Source organism: Homo sapiens, chromosome Y (genome assembly GCF_000001405.40).
Source record: "Homo sapiens chromosome Y, GRCh38.p14 Primary Assembly".
In the NCBI taxonomy this organism is placed as follows: Eukaryota; Metazoa; Chordata; class Mammalia; order Primates; family Hominidae; genus Homo; species Homo sapiens.
The window spans coordinates 13,879,085-13,897,300 of record NC_000024.10 but is presented as its reverse complement, the minus strand read 5'-3'; the positions used below and the strand labels follow the sequence as shown (position 1 = coordinate 13,897,300).

Here is an 18,216-nt window from a genome sequence, read left to right as displayed (position 1 = left end):
ACCGGGAACTTGCGCTGGCCCACAAGTGCCCCATGCAGCCCTGGTTCCCAGCCGCGCCTCTGCCTCCACACTTCCCTGCAAGCTAAGGGAGCTGGCTCTGGCCTTCATCAGCCCAGAAAGGGGCTCCCACAGTGCAGCGGTGGGCTGAAGTGCTCCTTAAGCACAGCCAGAGTGGGCACCAAGGTCGAGGAGGTGCCAAGAGTGAGCGAGGGCTGTGAGGGGTGCCAGCACTCTGTCACCTCTCCATCCCCCCTCTAAACAGGACACCCCAACTGCTGTTGGGAATTTGGCTGATGACCATTCTAGCTACTTCCTGCTGGACAGGAGTGATGAAGGGGCCCTGTAGTTGTAGTGTCCTCCTGAGGGGAGCTCTCCAGGCCAGTAAAAGTGCCAGGGGGTCAGTCCAGGGGTCCTTGGTAGAAGTTGTTAGTTGAACTCCTTTGGGGTTCCATTTGTAAGACCATCTGTAGCTTGATGGCCTCAATTCTAGAGGAAACAAATTTGACAAGCAGGTTAAAAATACAGGGTCCAAAGGCAAGTAATAGCAAGATGGCTGCCATGGGAACTAGAAAGGGGAGAAATCATAATGCCCAACTCCAGAGGTTCGTATAAGAGTTTGAAAGATGTTGTTTGATTTCAGAAAACTTTTCCTGTAAACACCAGGTGGCATCTCGTACTATCCCTGAATGGTTAGTGTAAAAACAACACTCTTCCCCTAAGAAGGTGCAGAGTCCTGCTTTCTCAGTAGTGAGGAGGTATAGGCCTCAGCAGTTTTGGAGAGTCACTGCTGCCAAAGAGTCTATTTGGGATTGTAAAGTAAGAATAGATTTTGTTATTTCTTGCAAACTCTGAGAAATCCTTTGAGAGTGTGTGGTAGTAGAATAATGAAGTAGATAAACCAGCTATTTCAGTTCCGGTAGCAGTAGCCATTCCTAACCCTATAAGCAGGGGTATTGGTTGTATGGCTCTGTGCTGATGGACTTGAGCTTTGAGGGGTACTGATAAGTTCTGATTTCCTGGGGCAATGTTAATGTTGGGACTTAGGAAGACTAAGGTGCAGGTGCCTGTCCAGTTAGTGGGGAGGCACATATAGGTCAACATTCCACATAAGAAGAATATGCCTTGGCTGGGTAGACAGAACTGGTTATGTATGCTAAAAAGGTGTGTGAGTTTCTTTTCATTTTCCCATACTCCTAGAGTACTGGCCAAGATACCTCCAGTGAGCAGCTGGAAAGGGGTGTTGGGAGAAAACTGAGTGGCTCCCTGCGTTCTAATTTCCCATTGGAGAAAAAAAAGTTTTTTATCCACTAGGATCCATTCGAGAGAGTGATTGAAAGGGGATGAGAAGGCATTCACTAGTGGTGGCGGCACTGCTGCAGGGAAAACGAGATCATTTTATCTAGTCTGAGTTACAGGTAGGAGTAAATTACTGTCAAGAGGAAGGAAGATAGAAAGAAGGTTGATGTGATTAGGATTTTCATTCTGTCAGGAGCTAGAGTATGTAGTCCTATCACAAAGAGTATGGTTAGTGTGCTGTTTTCCCCTACCTTTTTTAAGGAGGATGAGGTCTTTCCTCAGGATCAAATACGCATGTGCATGGCCCTCAACCCTGCTACTTTTCTCTTTTGATCACAGGATCAAAAAGGATAGGAGCCTTTTTCGTCTGGGATATTTCTTTCCGAAATAGGAGGTGCAAGTCCTCCAACAGTTTACAGGTGTATCGAGGCTGGTCTGGCTGATGTTGGGACTGCTGAGCTGATGATCCCACAGGTTCCTCAGGGGATGTCCAAAGTTTAACTCAGGAGTGGTGAATCAAAGATTCGATTCCTGCCATGTTAACTGCAGTGGGAGTAGAGAGGATTACCAAGTATGGTCCTTCCCACAAAGAGTCCAGAGATGGGGAGGTAGAGGGAAGAGATTTGACCAACACTAGATCTCCTGGTTGAAACAACTCTGCTCCCTTTTCTCTGTGACAACCTTCAGGTAGGTTTTTAAGGTTTTGTTGATATTTTGCCAAAGAAGTTATATCTTTCACCAAGTTGGCCATTTCCTGATCAAGTAGGAGGTCATCTGGGAGAAAAGGTCGCCCATACAGCATTTCATATGGACTAAGCCCTATTTTGTGAGGAGAATTTCAGATCCTCAACAGGGCCATAGGCAAAAGAGTAAGCCATGGGAGGTGAGTTTCTTGTGTTAGTTTCCTTAAGTGCCTCTTGAGCGTTTCATTTGCCTTCTCGACTTTCCCTGAGGATTGTGGCCTCCATAAGCAGTGAAGATGATATTGTATCCCTAGTGGCCTGGAGATTCCCTGAGTTATCATGGCTTTAAAAGCTGGACCATTGTCACTCTGTAAGCTTTGGGGAAGCCCAAATCTAGGAATTATTTCATGAATTAGGACTTTAATCACTTCCTGAGCCTTCTCTGTCTTGCAGGCGAAAGCTTCTATCCAATTTGTAAAGGTATCAACACAGACCAACAAGTATTGAAATCCCTTTGACTTAGGCATATGGGAGAAGTCTAACTGCCAGTCCTTTCCAGGATAGTGACCTATTCTTTGTTCCCTCAATGGGTCCTTATGATGAACCAAGGGATTATTCTTTTGGCACACCTCACAGGCTTTGACTACCTGTTGGATGGTCTGGAGGAGATTTGGCCCTGTAAATAGGGATTTGGCCATTTGATTAGTGTTTTCAATACCTATATGAAAAGTTTGGTGGAGGGTTTTAAGTATTTTCCACTGGCTGGCTTCAGTTATAAGTACCTTTCCTTCTTCTGTTACCAACCACCCTGAAGGAAGAAAATTATGCCCCTGTGAAAGTCCCCATTCTGTTTCAGTCAGGGAATACTGGGGCTTAATTTCTTGGAGGGGGTTGTTCCATACCAAAGGTCCTTCTGTAGGTATTTCTAATAAGGGGTTCCACCTGGTAGCAATTTTGCCTCAGCATCTGCCCGACAGTTTCCTTCTGCTTTCTTTCCTTCACCTTTCTGATGGCTTTGGCAGTGTAAGACTGCCACTTCCTTGGGTTTTTGCACTGTGTGCAATAACTCTATAATTTCCTTGTGGTATTTAACGGGGGTTCCCCCAGAGGTTGGGAACTCCCTCCTTTTTCATATTGCATCATGAGCATGTAGGATTAGATAAGCATACTTGCTATCTATATACACATTTATTCTTTTTCCCTTTCCCAGTTATAAGGCTCAGGTAAGTGCCACTAGTTCTGCTAACTGGGCACTGGTCCCTAGGGGAAGAGGCTTACTTTCAAGTATGGTTACATCGCTAACTATGGCATAACCTGCCCTTCATACCCCATTCTCCACAAATGAACTTTCCTCAGTGTATAGGTTAAGATCAGGATTAGTTAAGGGAACTTCTAAAAGATCATCTTGGGCAGCATACGTCTGGACTATTTTGTTCACAGTCATGCATAATCATTTCCCCATCCTCTGGGAGAAAAGTGGCAGGGTTGAGGACCATGCACGTGCATATTTGAAGCACTGGTCCCTCAAGGAGTAGCACCTGGTATCTAAGGAGGCAGTTGTCTTATAGCCATAAACTTCCTTTGGCACCTAGTATGCCATTTACCTCATGAGTAGTCCAGACAGTGAGATCCTTTCCTTGTATTATTTTGATAGCCTCTGACACAAAGACGGCCACTGCAGCAACTAACTTTAAACAGTGAGGCCAGACTTTTGCTACTGCATCTATTTCCTTACTTAGGTATGCCACTGGTTGTGGGGTTTTCCCACGAGTCTGAATAAGGTCTCCAAGAGCTATCCCTGCTCTCTCTGTGATGTATAAAGAGAAGTTTTGTCCTGTGGGAAGGCTTAAAGCTGGAGATTGTACTAAGGCCTGCTTTAAGGTTTTGAAGGCTGTTTCTGCCCCTGGTTACCATTCTACAAGATGCCCTCTGGGTTTCCTTACTTACAGTATTGAGGGGCCTGGCTATCTTGCTGTATCCAGGGATCCCTAGTCAGCAAAAGCCGGTAATTCCAAGGAACCCCCGCAACTGTTTTAATGTTTTAGGGTGAGGATAAGCCAATAGAGGCTGTATTCATTCCATGCTGAGGGTCCTGGTCCCTCTGGCTAAGATTAGGCCTAGATATTTGACCTGCCGTAGGCAAAGCTGGGCCTTCGACCCAAACACATTGTACCCTTGATTAGCTAGAAAGTTCAAGAGATCTAGAGTAGCCTGCTGGCATGAGGCTTCCGAAATGGTAGCCAAAAGCAAATCATCGATATATTGAAGGACCAGAGTGCCTGGACTTGAGAGGTGGCCTAGATCTTGGGCCAGTGCCTGACCAAACAGATGAGGGCTATCCTTAAATCCTTGGGGTAAGATCGTCCATGTAAGTTGGGGTGTGTGGTCTGTGGGATCCTTAAAAGCAAAGAGGAACTGGGAGTCAAAGCAAAGAGTGCAGGGGAATACAGAAGAAGGCATCCTTGAGGTCCAGAACCATCAACCATTCTGCTTCCTCTGGTATTTGAGAGAGCAAGATATAGGGGTTTGGTACAACTGGATATAGAGGAATTACTGCCTCATTATTGAGTCTAAGATCTTGCACTAGTCTCCACTGACCATTCAGTTTTTGTACTACTAGAATTGGGATGTTGCAGGGACTGCTGCATTTCCTTACCAAGCCTTGAGCTTTCAAATATTTAACAATATTCTGTAATCCTTTATGAGCTTCAGGCCAAAAGAGATATTGCCTTTTAACCTGATTTGGACTGGCTGGGCATTTTTTGCCCTTCCAAATTGTCCTTCCAATGCCCAGACTTCAGGGTTGATTCCCTCCTCAAGTAGGGGACAACAAATGTGTAACTTGTTCCCCATACTCATGTAGATAATAGCTCCCACCTTGGCTAATATATCTCTCCCTAATAAGGGTGTGGGACTTTCAGGCATAACAAGAAAGGCATGTGAAAAGAGCAAAGTCTCCCAATTACAACTGAGGAGGTGGGAGAAATACCTGTTTAAAGGCTGTCCCAGGATTACTCAGATGGTAATGGACCTTGAAGACAGTCATCCAGGACAGGAGATTAACATTGAAAAAGCCACGCCAGTGTCCAGGAGGAAGTCAATTTCCTGGCCCTCTATAGTTAAACACACCTGGGGCTCAGTGAGGGTGATGACATGAGCTGGCGCTTGCCCTGGGCACCCGCAGTCCTGTTGTTGGATCATCTGGTTGGGGGCTTCTGACCCAGGGAACCTTCATCCTCTGGGTTAGTGCACCTTCCAGTGATTGCCTAGGCATAGTAGACATGGACGAGGGGGCAGCTTGTTTCTCACTGAATAATCTATTTAAAAGTGTCCTTGCAAACCACAGTGATAAAAATCCCTACCAGGTGACTGGCCTGCTCCATTTTCTGTCCTCTCTGAACCACCAAGGTTTGTTTGTCTGAGGGCCATGACTAAGGCTGCAGCCTTTCTCTGATCTCGCTTTTCCTTTTGGGCCTGTTCCTCTTGGTCCCTATTATAGAACACCAAGGTTGCCAGGTTTAATAATGTCTCTAGATTTTGTTCAGGGCCCAGGGCTTGCTTTTGGAGCTTTCTCCTGATATCTGCAGCTGATTGGGTAATAAACTTATCTTTTAGAATCATTTGACCCTTGAATGATTTGGGTGACATGGAAGTATATTTTCTTAAGGCCTCTCATAGCCGCTCAAGGAAGGCAGAAGGATTTTCTTCCTTTCCCTGGGTTATGATGGACATCAATGAATAATTCATGGGCTTTTTCTAATTCTCCTCAGTCCTTCTAGAACACAGGTCAACAGATATTTATGACTCCAGTCCCCATGATCTGAGTCAAGGTCCCAGTGGGGATCCATACTGGGGATGGCTTGCTGACCAGTAGGGAATTTGTCCCTTTCTTCAGCTGTCATTCTATCATTTACTTGACTAAGATACCAGGTATCTCCAAACTCTCAGGCTGCAGCTAAAGCCACATACTTTTCATTAAAGGCCAGGGTTTGATCTAACAGTAGTATGACATCTCTCCAAGCGAGGTCGAAGGTTTGCCCTAGACCCTGTAGGACAACTATGTACCTATCAGGATCATCTGAAAATCTCCCCAGGCCTGCCTTGATCTGCTTTAAATCAGAGAGGGAGAAGGGGATATGTATCCGGGTTGGGCCAAATTCTCCTCCTCCTAACAGCTTGAAGGGGACAAAACTGATAGCCCAGGGGTTTTTGTGGACCTTTGGAGATTTCTTTGCTTATTTCCTTCTGGGTGGGAGAGATTAGAGGAGGATTATCATTCATAGGAAGGGGAGCTATAGGGAGACTAGGATATGGGGGTAAGCTGAGAGGTCCTCCTGTGGGATGTAAATTGTAAGCTCTGCATAGTTGTGTATTCTCCCTCAATGAAAAGAAAGCTCAGACATAAGGTATTTCCCTCCATTTGCCTTCCCTCTTACACAAAAGGTCAAGCTGCAGGATAGTATTCTAATTTGTACTTCCCTCAGGTGGCCATTTTTCCACATCAGAGAGAGAATATTGGGGCCAAGCTGTAGTGCAGAAAAAAATGAGTCACCTCTTTTTCAAGGTTTGTGGGTCAAATTGGTCCAATGGCTTAGGATGCATTTCAAGGGACAGCCTGTTGCTGCCTGAGTGTTTCCCATCTGAAAGACAAAACCGCCCATGGTTTTGGTTTGTTTTGTTTCTCCCCCTGACCAAGAACACACAACAGTCCCTGGACCCCGCTGATTGGAATAGCTGTGTTCACCGATGCAGCAGCAGAAACAACCCCTGCCCAAGAATCTGCAACGGTCCCTGACCATGCTGATTGGAATAGTTGCACTCACCGACGCAGCAGCAGAAACACTAGTTTTCCTCCCAGACCAGATGGAGGACCAGGGAAGGTCGGATTTAGCAGCACTTACTGACACATTCTTGAAAACCTGCACCCTTGCCTGTCCTCCTAGACCACAAGGAGGACCAACCGAGAAAAATCGGATTTAGTCGCCCTTACCGACATATTCTCAAAAACCTGTTAGAGTCCTAAGTGTTCTCCTGTTAGTATTGGGACTTTACCCCTGTCCTATAAAGATGTTATGCCCCCAAAATGAAGTGGAGGGCCATACCTTGAGGGAGGGAAGGGATCTCCAGGGTTGGAAGAGTGACACCTTTTGTCTTCACTTGTATGAATAGGAAGGATACAATTTCTGAGGCTCCCCATATCCTAGCTTCAGGAATAGCTTTCGTTAGGCCTGTTAGTCTGAGGAGGGATCCTAAAATTCCAGGTAGTCCCCACTATGATGGGGCTTTGGGCAAAAATTATGTCTTCTGACTGGTAAGCCTGGGTGCCTAAAGAAGGTAACAGAGTCCTGGAGTTTATACTAGAAATCATTCTTATAGGAGAAACTAGAAAAGCACCAGAGACAGGTAACAATTTTTAGAAGCAGGACTAACCTCGGAGAAGAGAGGCAAGAGGAAGTTTGTCTGGCAGGCATTAGGACCCAGGGGGCAAGGGTCAGGATACATAGGATAGATGGGTGAGTCTCGCTTGGGCGACATGCTTTGAGAGTTCCGCTCATGGCCGCAGGGTCAACCAACTTGTTGTCAGGACCCTGGAGCTGCATGACTTTCCTCTCTGTCAACCCTCAGCGCAGCCCAGAAGTACAAGAAGAGCAGAAGCTGGTTCTGAGCAAACCAACGGTCCCAACGCCGAACAGTCCGGGGGTCATTAGAGAGCCCTTTCCCAGAAAGCATGACACCTGTGTCTTTAGTCCAGCGGCCATGCTAGTCGCTTTTAACTGGCCGACAGGTGCCTGGTATTTAGTCCCTGAACTCTAAGGAAAAATAGGACAGAATAGCAAGCGAAAGGGGTCTTACAGTACTCACTGCGTGGCGAAAGGCGATTGTCTCACTGCTCAGCAACAGGTGATGGTCTCACTGCTCTGTGATAGTCTCACCGCTTGGCGATTGGTGATGGTCCCTTCGTGGTCACCAAAATCTGTCCAGAATTGGTGGGTTCTTGGTCTCACTGACCAAGAAAGAAGCCACAGACCCACATGTTGAGTGTCACAGTTCTTAAAGGCAGTGTGTCTGGAATTTGTTCCTTCTGATTTTCAGATGTGTTCGGAGTTTCTTCCTTCTGGTGGGTTCATGGTCTTGCTGGCTCAGGAGTGAAGCTGCAGACCTTCGCAGTGAGTGTTACAGCTCTTAAGGTGGCACATCTGGAGTTGTTCATTCCTCCTGGTGGGTTTGTGGTCTCACTGGCTTCAGGAGCGAAGCTGCAGACCTTCACAGTGAGTGTTACAGCTCATAAAGGCAGTGCGGACCCAAAGAGTGAGCAGCAGCAAGATTTATTGCAAAGAGCTAAAGAACAAAGCTTCCACAGCGTGGAAGGGGACCCAAGCGGGTTGCCACTGCTGGTTCAAGCAGCCTGCTTTTATTCCCTTATCTGGCCCCACCCACATCCTGGTGATTGGTCCATTTTACAGAGAGCTGATTGGTCTGTTTTGACAGGGTGCTGATTGGTGCGTTTACAATCCCTGAGCTAGACACAAAAGTTCTCCATGTCCCCACTAGATTAGCTAGATACAGAGTGTCAACACAAAAGTTCTCCATGTCCCCACCAGAGTAGCTAGATACAGAGTGTTGATTGGTGCATCACAAACCCTGAGCTAGACACAGGGTGCTGATTGGTATGTTTACAAACCTTGAGCTAGACACAGAGTGCTGATTAGTGTATTTACAATCTCTTAGCTAGACATAAAGTTTCTCCAAGTCCCCACCAGAGTAGCTAGATAGAGTGTTGATTGCTGCATTCACAAACCCTGAGCTAGACACAGGGTGCTGATTGGTATGTTTACAAACCTTGAGCTAGATACAGTGCTGATTGCTGTATTTACAATCCCTTAGCTAGACATAAAGTTTCTCCAAGTCCCCACCAGAGTAGCTAGATACAGAGCGTCAATTGGTGCATTCACGTATCCTGAGCTAGACACAGGGTACTGATTGGTGTGTTTACAAACCTTGAGCTAGATGCAGAGTGCTGACTGGTGTATTTACAATCCCTTGGCTAGACATAAAGGTTCTCCAAGTTCCCACCAGACTCAGGAGCACAGCTGGCTTCACCCAGTGGATCCTGCACCCAGTCGCAGGTGGTGCTGCCTGCCAGTCCTGCGCATGCGCCCACACTCAGCCCTTGGGCAGTCATGGGACTGGGCACCATGGAGCAGGGAGCGGTGCTCACTGGGGAGGCTCAGACATGGTGGGCTGCAAGTCCCAAGCCCTGCCCCACGGGGAGGCAGCTAAGGCCCGGCAAGAAATTGGGCACAGCAGCTGCTGGCACAGGTGCTAAGCCTCTCACTGCCTGGGGCTTGCAGGCAGGGGCAGGCCGCTCCAAGTATCTGGCCCACCGAGCCCACGCCCACCCTGAACTTGCGCTGGCCCACAAGCGCCCTGGGCAGCCCTGGTTCCCACCCACGACTCTCCCTCCACACCTCCCTGCAATCTGAGGGAGCCGGCTCTGGCCTTGGCCAGCCCAGAAAGGGGCTCCCACAGTGCAGCAGGGGGCTGAAGGGCTCCTTAAGCATGGCCAGAGTGGGCGCCAAGGCCGAGGAGGTGCCCAGAGCAAGCGAGGGTTGTGAGGGCTGCCAGCATGCTGTCACCCCTCAGTCTAAATGCAGTTGCTTCTACCTAAAATATAAAAGGTGAAATAGGTGGCATGCCCCCTGCATTCTGTGAACTTCCTCGGTAGAAATGAATGGGAGGGAACCTTTTCTGTATCCATGGCATCTCTCAGTTTAGCAGAGGCCTCTTTTCAGGCCAGTTGCCTTGAGTGGAAATACCCTTTGTGAGAAGAGCATTCCTTCCTCCAGTTCCCACTCACCCCATCCGTAGTCTTTCTCTGCTTCTTCTTTGTTGGTACAAGAGACTTACTGCTGATTGTCCAGCTCCAAAAGACATTGTAGTGATGCACAAGGATGTCCGGCTCCTCGGGGAGACCCCAAACTATAGTGACGGTCACACTCCCATCACTGTTGACGGTGGAGTTGGCCAGCCGGAGGTTAGCTGGCACTGGTGGGGCAGATGGATCTGAAATCCCAGAACAAAGACACATCATATGACTCCACAAAACTAACGTCTTTGGACATGTAATGACTACATGGTCAACATGTGAAGCATTGATTTTTATAAATAGAAAAGCTGAAAACAGCAGGGGGCAGGATGGCTTATGTCTATAATCCCAGCACTTTGCAAGGCAGAGGCGGGCACAATCTTTTGAGTCTAGGAGTTTGAGACCAACCTGGGCAACACAGTGAAACTCTGTCTCCACAAAATATAAAAAATTAGCTGGGCAGGTTGGTGCATGCCTGTGGTCCCAGCTACTCAGGAAGCTGAGGCAGGAGGATCATTTGATCTGAAAAGGTTGAGGCCGCAGTGAACTGTGATTAGCACCACTGCATGCCAGCCTGGGCAAGAGAGTGAGACACAGTCTCCAAAAAAGAGTAAAAGAGAAGTGAAGCTGAAAACAAGTTATTAAGATCTTCTTGTTCAGCCTCAAATAAAAAATCTAAAAAATGGTAAGATAAATTTGTTTGGTCCAAATTTGTAATCCAGAAGGATCATTTTAAGCGTTTCCATACCAAGACAACCCAGCCAAATTTTTAATATGCTGAAATTGATATCTTTTGGTAAAATACAGTAAAATTCAATGTGGGTGAATTGACATTAAATAGGTAAGCAACAGAGAATCACCTTTGAATACTCTAAAAAGGAAAAGAAATTCAGCTCACACAAATAGTTGTTTTCACCTTAGTGGCCCTGTAGCTAGTGATTTTTGCATCAGCTAAGAGTAATAGAGATCAGAAAAAAAAACTGCACCATTTTTTATCCACACTGCACACTGGATGACTTACCAGTAGCATTCATTTTTCTGATTGTACCATTTCTGGTTTGTCTCATAAATGAAAACATTTTCAGATGTCAAGAGAAAGGTGAGGTGCTGGAATTACCACCTCACAAATCTCCATTGAAAATACGTATTTGAATAAGACTAAATATAGCAAAGCTGGAGGGTTTTTACTTCATTTTCTGTTAAAAATTGAGCAAGTGGAGATGCTTCTCACCACCAGTGATTTACAGAGGGTTTCATTTCAAGACACTGTCACAGGAAGATGCTGTCAATAATTCTCACTATAACAGCATGTGTGTTGGGGATTCAAAAAAGTCATATCTAACTTGATATAAATGAAGAAGACTGGAGAAAAAATATCCCATGTTTTTACTTTCAGTAGTTAGTAGTTTTGAAATGATGGAAACATAAGTTATTTTTTGAAAGTTCTTGCTTTCCTCTATGAAATATAATGTGTGGACATTTAGTTAGGTTACTTCTTTTATTTTCTAGAAAAGAAAGCTTCATAGTATTTTTTTAGGTAAGAGGTTAACTGAAAGCATATTATGTGATACTGTTAGTCAAGTCATTCTCTCTCTTTCTCTTTTAATTAACTTTTAAATTCCAAGGTATATTTGCAGTCTATGCATGTTTTTTATGGAGGTAAATATATGCCACGGTGGTGTGCTGCACAGATCAACCTATGACATAGATGTTAAGCCCGGCACTCATTAGCTCTTCCTGATGCTCTTCTTCTCCCACCCCCATCCCCAGCGGGCCCTACTGTGTGTTTCTCCCCTCCATGTGTCCAGGTGTTATCATCGTTTAGCTGTTCAGTTCCCATTTATGAGGGAGAACATGCAGTGTTTCATTTTCTTTTCCTGCATTAGTTTGCTGAGGATAATGGCCTCCAGCTCTATCCATGTCCCTGCAAAGGACATGATCTCATTCCTTTTTATGGCTGCATAGTATTCTATGTGTCTATGCACCACATTTTTTTTTTATCCAGTCTACTGTTGATGGACATTTGGGTAAATTCCATATCTCTGCTATTGTGAATAGTGCTGCAATGAACACACATGTGCTTGCATCTTTGTAGAAGAATGATTTACATTCCTTTGGGTATATACCCATTAATGGGATTGCTGGATCAAATGGTATTTCTGAATCAACCTGTTCTTATTCAATAACAGGAATCTCTGGAATGTCCAACACTTATACTGAGATATGCTGATTCCCTGAGTGCAGGTGGGATCCAGGAATATTTCATATGAAACACACAGGTAATACTGAGGTAGATGACCTAAGAAAACTCATCTAGTAGGGTCAAAAGTAGACAAGTACTACATCAAGTGGCTACAAACCATGAGGTCTGAACATCACAATGTGTAAGGATGAAATATTTGTTCCTATTCTTATTAGGACAGGAAGCACCCCAACCTGGAAGTTTGGCAGTGCCATCTGAGGACTCCCTCAGTCATCAATATTGACAACACTGATCACTTTCTTCTCTTAAAAATGCAGGCTTCACTTGGTTTTCAGGACACTAATAGATTTTCATTCAGTTTCAATGGAAGCTACTTCTCAGCCCCACGCTCCATGATCTTTAGCTCCCATCTTCTCTAGATAGGAGAGTGTTCTGCGTCTGAATTCAGGGATCTCTCTCTTCTCATCTACACTCATTCTCTAGGGATCTCATCAGATGTCACACTTTTAAAAACATCTTTGTGCTGATGACTTTCAAACTGATATCTTCACTATTGACCATGCCCCTGAATGCAGATCTAATCATTCAAATATCAATACTCAAAAAATATCTTCCAGCAGCTCTATTTGGAGGTCTCAGAGGCATCTCAAAACTAATGTGTCCCAAAGCAAAATCATGATCCCTATACATAGCCCACCACTAATACATAGCCCACCACACACAGCCCACTACTGACACCAACTCAGTACATGGGAATTGCTCTTCCAGTTGCTCTGGCCCCAACCCTTGAAGTCATACATTTATTTTGCAGACACATCCCTTGAACAAATTGTGTTAGCACTACCTTCAAAGTGTAACAGGAATTTAACTGCCTTTCACCACTGCCAATGCCCTGGGCCAAGCCAACATCACCTCTCCCTGATTACTGCCAAAAGCTCCCCACTGCCTCCCTAGAGGTTTTTCTGAATACAACAGCCTGATGATTCTATACTGCAAGAGACCATCTCATTCCTGTGCGCAGAAGTTCCTTACTTGGAGTAAAACCACTAGGAGTCTCCTGAATGCCCTACAACCTGTGCCTCAGTTACCTCCCAGAGCACCTTTCATTTTATCACCTCCACCCCTCAGCCCAGTCACACTGGTTCTTGGAAAGGAAAACCATGATGCTGCTGACGTTTTCCTGTCTATTTGCCTAAATGCTTTCCCTGGTGTCTCCATGGCTGGCTCCTTTTCCTGTTGAAGGTCTACTAAATGTGACCCTATTTAAAATAGCTATATATGCTTTGTTCCATTTACAAAAAAAAAGTCACCATGATGATGCCTTGCTTCATTATTCTCCAAGCCCTTATTACTAACTGTTACGGTAAATATTGAGTGTCAACTTGATTGGATTGAAGGATCCAAAGTGTTGATCCTGGGTATGTCTGTGAGGATGGTGCCATGGAGATTAACATTTGAGTCACTGGACTGGAAAAGACAGACCCTCCCTCAATCTGGGTGGGCACCATTCTAATCAGCTGCCAGTGTGGCCAGAATAAAAGCAGGAAGAAGAGGTGGAAACTTTAGACTGGTTTAGTCTTCTGGCCTACATCTTCCTCCCATGCTGGATGCTTCCTGCCCTCGAACATCAGACTCCACGTTCTTCAGCTTTGGGACTCGGACCTTTGAATGCAGACTGAAGGCTGCACTGTCGGCTTCCCTACTTTTGAGGTTTGGGGACTTTGACTGGCTTCCTTGCTCCTTAGCTTGCAGATGGCCTATTGTGGGACCTCACCTTATGATTGTGTGAGTCAATACTCCTTAGTAAACTCCCCTTTTTATATACTCTATCCTATTAGTTCTATCCCTCTAGAGAACCATGACTAATACACAAACTGACTTATTAGGTACCTTGTTTGCTGTCTGCTTCTACTCACGATAATGAAAGCTCCCTGAGAGGAGGAGTGTTTGCTTGTTTTTTCACATCTGTATCTCTCTCCAGAGTCCAGAAGAGCACCTAGCACACAGTATGTGCTCAGTAAGCAATTGCTGAGTGAATAAACGAAGGACAAGCTTCTAAATGTTACTTTTGACTTGTAATGTGATATTTCAGTTTCAGGTTCAATGTCAATTAGCATTGCTAAATCACAAGATCCTAAAGTGAATTGCAAAATCAAAGGAGTGTTCTTCCCAGTTTGAAATAAAATAATTAAATCAACGCCCCTTCCACTGGTGTAGGAGTTAATCTTTAATCTACAAAAGGGAGCTACCAACCTTCCCGGGAGGGAACGAACTTACAAGTGAATCATCACTTCAAGGCAAGAGAAGAATTAAAATGTATAAAGATAATAACAGCCGTTTGTGTTCTCAGCAATGTGTCTGAATATCTACATGCTGAAAATAAGTAGTCACATGATTTTTCCAGATATTCTAGGTTCATAAGGAAAACCTCAGAATCACATCCTCTTCTAAAGAAACTCCAATATTTAAGAGGGTCACTGGTACTAGGAATTTAATCATCTTCTTTAATTTATTTCATTCATTACATCATTTCCTGCCCTGGAAAATTTTGCTCATTGTAATAACCCAGAATAATGTCATCTAGTTTATGAAACATTGTAAAACACGAAACAACGCAATTTATGAAAGCAACTTTTGAGAAAACAATGCTTTCAAAGATATGAATTAATAATATTTTCTTGTCATTTTCTCAAAAGGAAGGCCCATTTTGAGTTGACAATACCAAAATGGCACACTTCCATTACCAAGATGATGCACTCCCATCTCTTTCTCCCTCAAAATAATCACTATAAAATTATAAAATCAGGCCAGGCATGGTGACTTATGCCTGTAATCTTAGTGCTTTGGGAAGCTGAGGCAGGAGGACTATTTGAGGGCAGGAGCTCAAGACCAGCTTAGGCAATAGCAAAAGACCCTGTCTCTACAGAAAAAATAAAATTAGCTGGGCTTGGTGTCATGTGCCTGTGGTCCTAGCTATGCAGGAGGCTGAAGCAGGAGAATTGCTTTAGTCTGGGAGTTCAAGGCTACAGTGAGCTATGACTGCACCACTGCCCACCATCCTGGATAACAGATGAGATTCTGACTCTTAAAAAAAAAAGAACAAAAAGAAAACAAAACCAAAAAAGAATGGTAGAGATCAGCTGTTTATTGCTGCTATCCTCCTCTGTAAACCAGCCATTCATTTATCCACTTATTCACTATGGGGTTCAGGTGAGACAGGGTCAATCCAGTTTCTCTAATCAGAAGCATTTTACTCAATCCTAACAAGTTTCTATATTTAAGCCATTCTCTGCCTTAAAAATTGGTTCCCTACATTATGAAACAAGGTATATTCATTTGACTAAATTATACAGAATGTTTTCTTTCATTATGCATTATTTTTAATTGTTTTAGAATTTTGAAATGTAGTTGGAGATTTCCATGTGAAATTTATATATATATATATATATACACACACACACATATACACACATACACATATATACATATACATATGCATAAATAGACAGTGGCTGATGAGAGCCAGAGAGCCAGGGAGGGAAACGCTATATTCTATGTTATTATAAAGCCCTAAGAAATTTTACAACTTATTTCACATGTTTTTAACTGGTGAGGGCTTTAGGGGTCAGAGAGGTAAACAGATATGTCCAAGATCATTCACATCATTGATGGCAGAACAAGGAGTGTGACAACAAAAATGAGAGAAAGATGGGGTGGAGGGTATAACAATACACAACTCTAGGTGCCACACTCTACATATGTTATATTCCACTGTCATAATGAGGAACAATGTCCCTATAGAATGTAAAAATTCTAAGCCTTTTAATGGGAAAAGTGTCTGTTACAATAGTCTAGTGCAGGCATTGATATAGGCTTTTTCCAGAAAGGGCCAGATAGTAAAGAGTTTAGGCTTTGTGGACCATATGGTCTCCATTACAATCACTCAACTCTGCCCTCACAGCTCAAAAGCAGCCACAGACAATATGTAAACAAATGAGGGTGGCTATGTTCCCATAAAACTTGATTTGCAAAACTAGGTTGCAGGCCAAATTTAGACCCTGGGCCACCGACTGCTCTCCCCTGATTAGGAAAATTTCAGAGTGTGATAACGTTAGGTTTAGGAAACAATGTGAGCACTGTTTATTCCTAATTTTACAAACATACAGTTGTATTTTGTCTATTAAATGTTAACATTATTGTCCTCATTTTAGAGATGGTGAAATTGAGGATCATAGTTTGATTCACTACTTCAAGAACAGAGTTTGATTTACTACATCTTCAAGTGAGAGGATGGGAGTCACACCACAAGACCAGTGCTCTCCTAACCCTTCCTCTGAGTCTCAAATATGGGCATTTTCCCCCATCTCACTTCTCTTTCTGTTTGATGCCAACTCCCTCCTTATGAACCTCACAATTATCTGCAGAAACACACTGCAGAGAGCAAGAATATTTTCAGAGATAACTGAAATAGAAAGGCTGTATTAGCTCCTTCTATGCTATACAATTTGTGTGATTACCAATGTAAAATATGCTACATATTTAGCATGTATACCCAATTTCAGCCTTGAAGAAAAATAGTTCCTTTTATTGATGATCATTTGTGGTGCTTTCAGCACCGGAGGATAAAACATTGGATTTCAGAAAGATAAATTTCAGGTTTCATCACTTAACCTCTTGTGTTTCATGACACAAACAGGCAAAGTAATGAGCATGAAGGTTTGACACGATGGAAGGACTATAAGTCTATGTTGCATAAAAGTGATAATAAAATCACTTATCACCCTTGGAGAAATGCAGGCGTATTAGTGCACTGACATGGAATCTCATGGGAGAAGACCACTTCTGCTTGTCCCAGGAGAAATGCCATCACTTTTTCTGAGGCAGGCTCCTCTGGATTTTTGAGATAACACTATTTGTTAAATACAGGAACCCATGCCTGCATATTAAAAAAACAACTAAGTAGCATGCAAACGAGGCTATAAAGAGGGCAACGATTACAGATCATCAAACAGAAACATGCACATGCACACACGGAGAACAATACCCATTTCAAAAAATGAATGTGGACTTTACTTATTTCATTTCTACCAATAATGTCTATAGATTAAACTTCCCACTGAAATGCATCATAAGAATACCTTGCAAGGTATATAACTTTTGTTAAGTGTAGTTATATTTTAAAAACAATAATATAACTGTGTCACATAGTTTTAAACTAAATACAAGTTTTGTTCTAATAATATTTAACCTTTTCTTTTTTCTTTCCAGACTTAGCAGTTGGGGTAGTATTCCTTCTCCATTAAAAAAAAAAAAAAAAAAAAAAAACTTAGCAAAACTGCTGAAGCTACACTGCAGGCAAATTTCCAACTATTAAATAGTTTCAAGACATATGTACAGCCAAGCCTTTTGCCCATCAGAAACAGTACATCCCAAGCCGCTGTGGAACAGAGTAAAAAGTCATGTGCCCCCACAGGGCAACAGGGAACTTTATTACCACCAGTGACGTCTGCTCTAGTTTTGCTGACACAGTAACGCATGTGTGGAGTAACATCCATGTGATACTTATATGCTGTGAAAACAATGCTGTCTGCTTCATTTTCCTTTGTAATGTATCCTACATACATAGGGAAATAAGGAGAAAAAGATAGATGAAGAACTTGGGATTTGAAGAGAAATGAATATGATGACTAAGATATTATGCTAGGTTAAAGAAAATTTAAGTTAGATTTTTACATGTTTCTTCATAAGATCCCTTAAAAGTGTGTTATTTTGTTATGTCAAATTGATAACTAATTTCAAATGAACAAACATCTTTGCCTGCTTTTGGCAACACACCCAAAAAAATGAATTTGGATTTTCCCTTGTACAATCCACAAAATTGGAACTCTTCCTTCTTTTACTACCCATATTGACACAGATATGTGATCATGGTAGCCAGAAACAAACACATTGTTTCCCAAATTCAGCAAACAAGTAAATACTATTTTTTACTAGGTAGCAGCTACTTCACAATATATACTTCCAATACTAAGCATGCAATGTATGTATTTTTTTACTCATTTAATAAGTAACAACAACATCAAGGAAAGGTTAAACACCAATTTACTGAAAAAAGATAAGCAACTGCAACATGAAGCGCACAGTATTTTTGTATGTGTAACCCTGAC

General features: G+C 43.4%; 1 pseudogene; it reads right to left on the bottom strand.

Moving 5' to 3' along the window:
* Positions 1-18,216, bottom strand: part of ANOS2P (anosmin 2, pseudogene) — a 168,317-nt pseudogene that overhangs the window by 22,722 nt on the left and 127,379 nt on the right.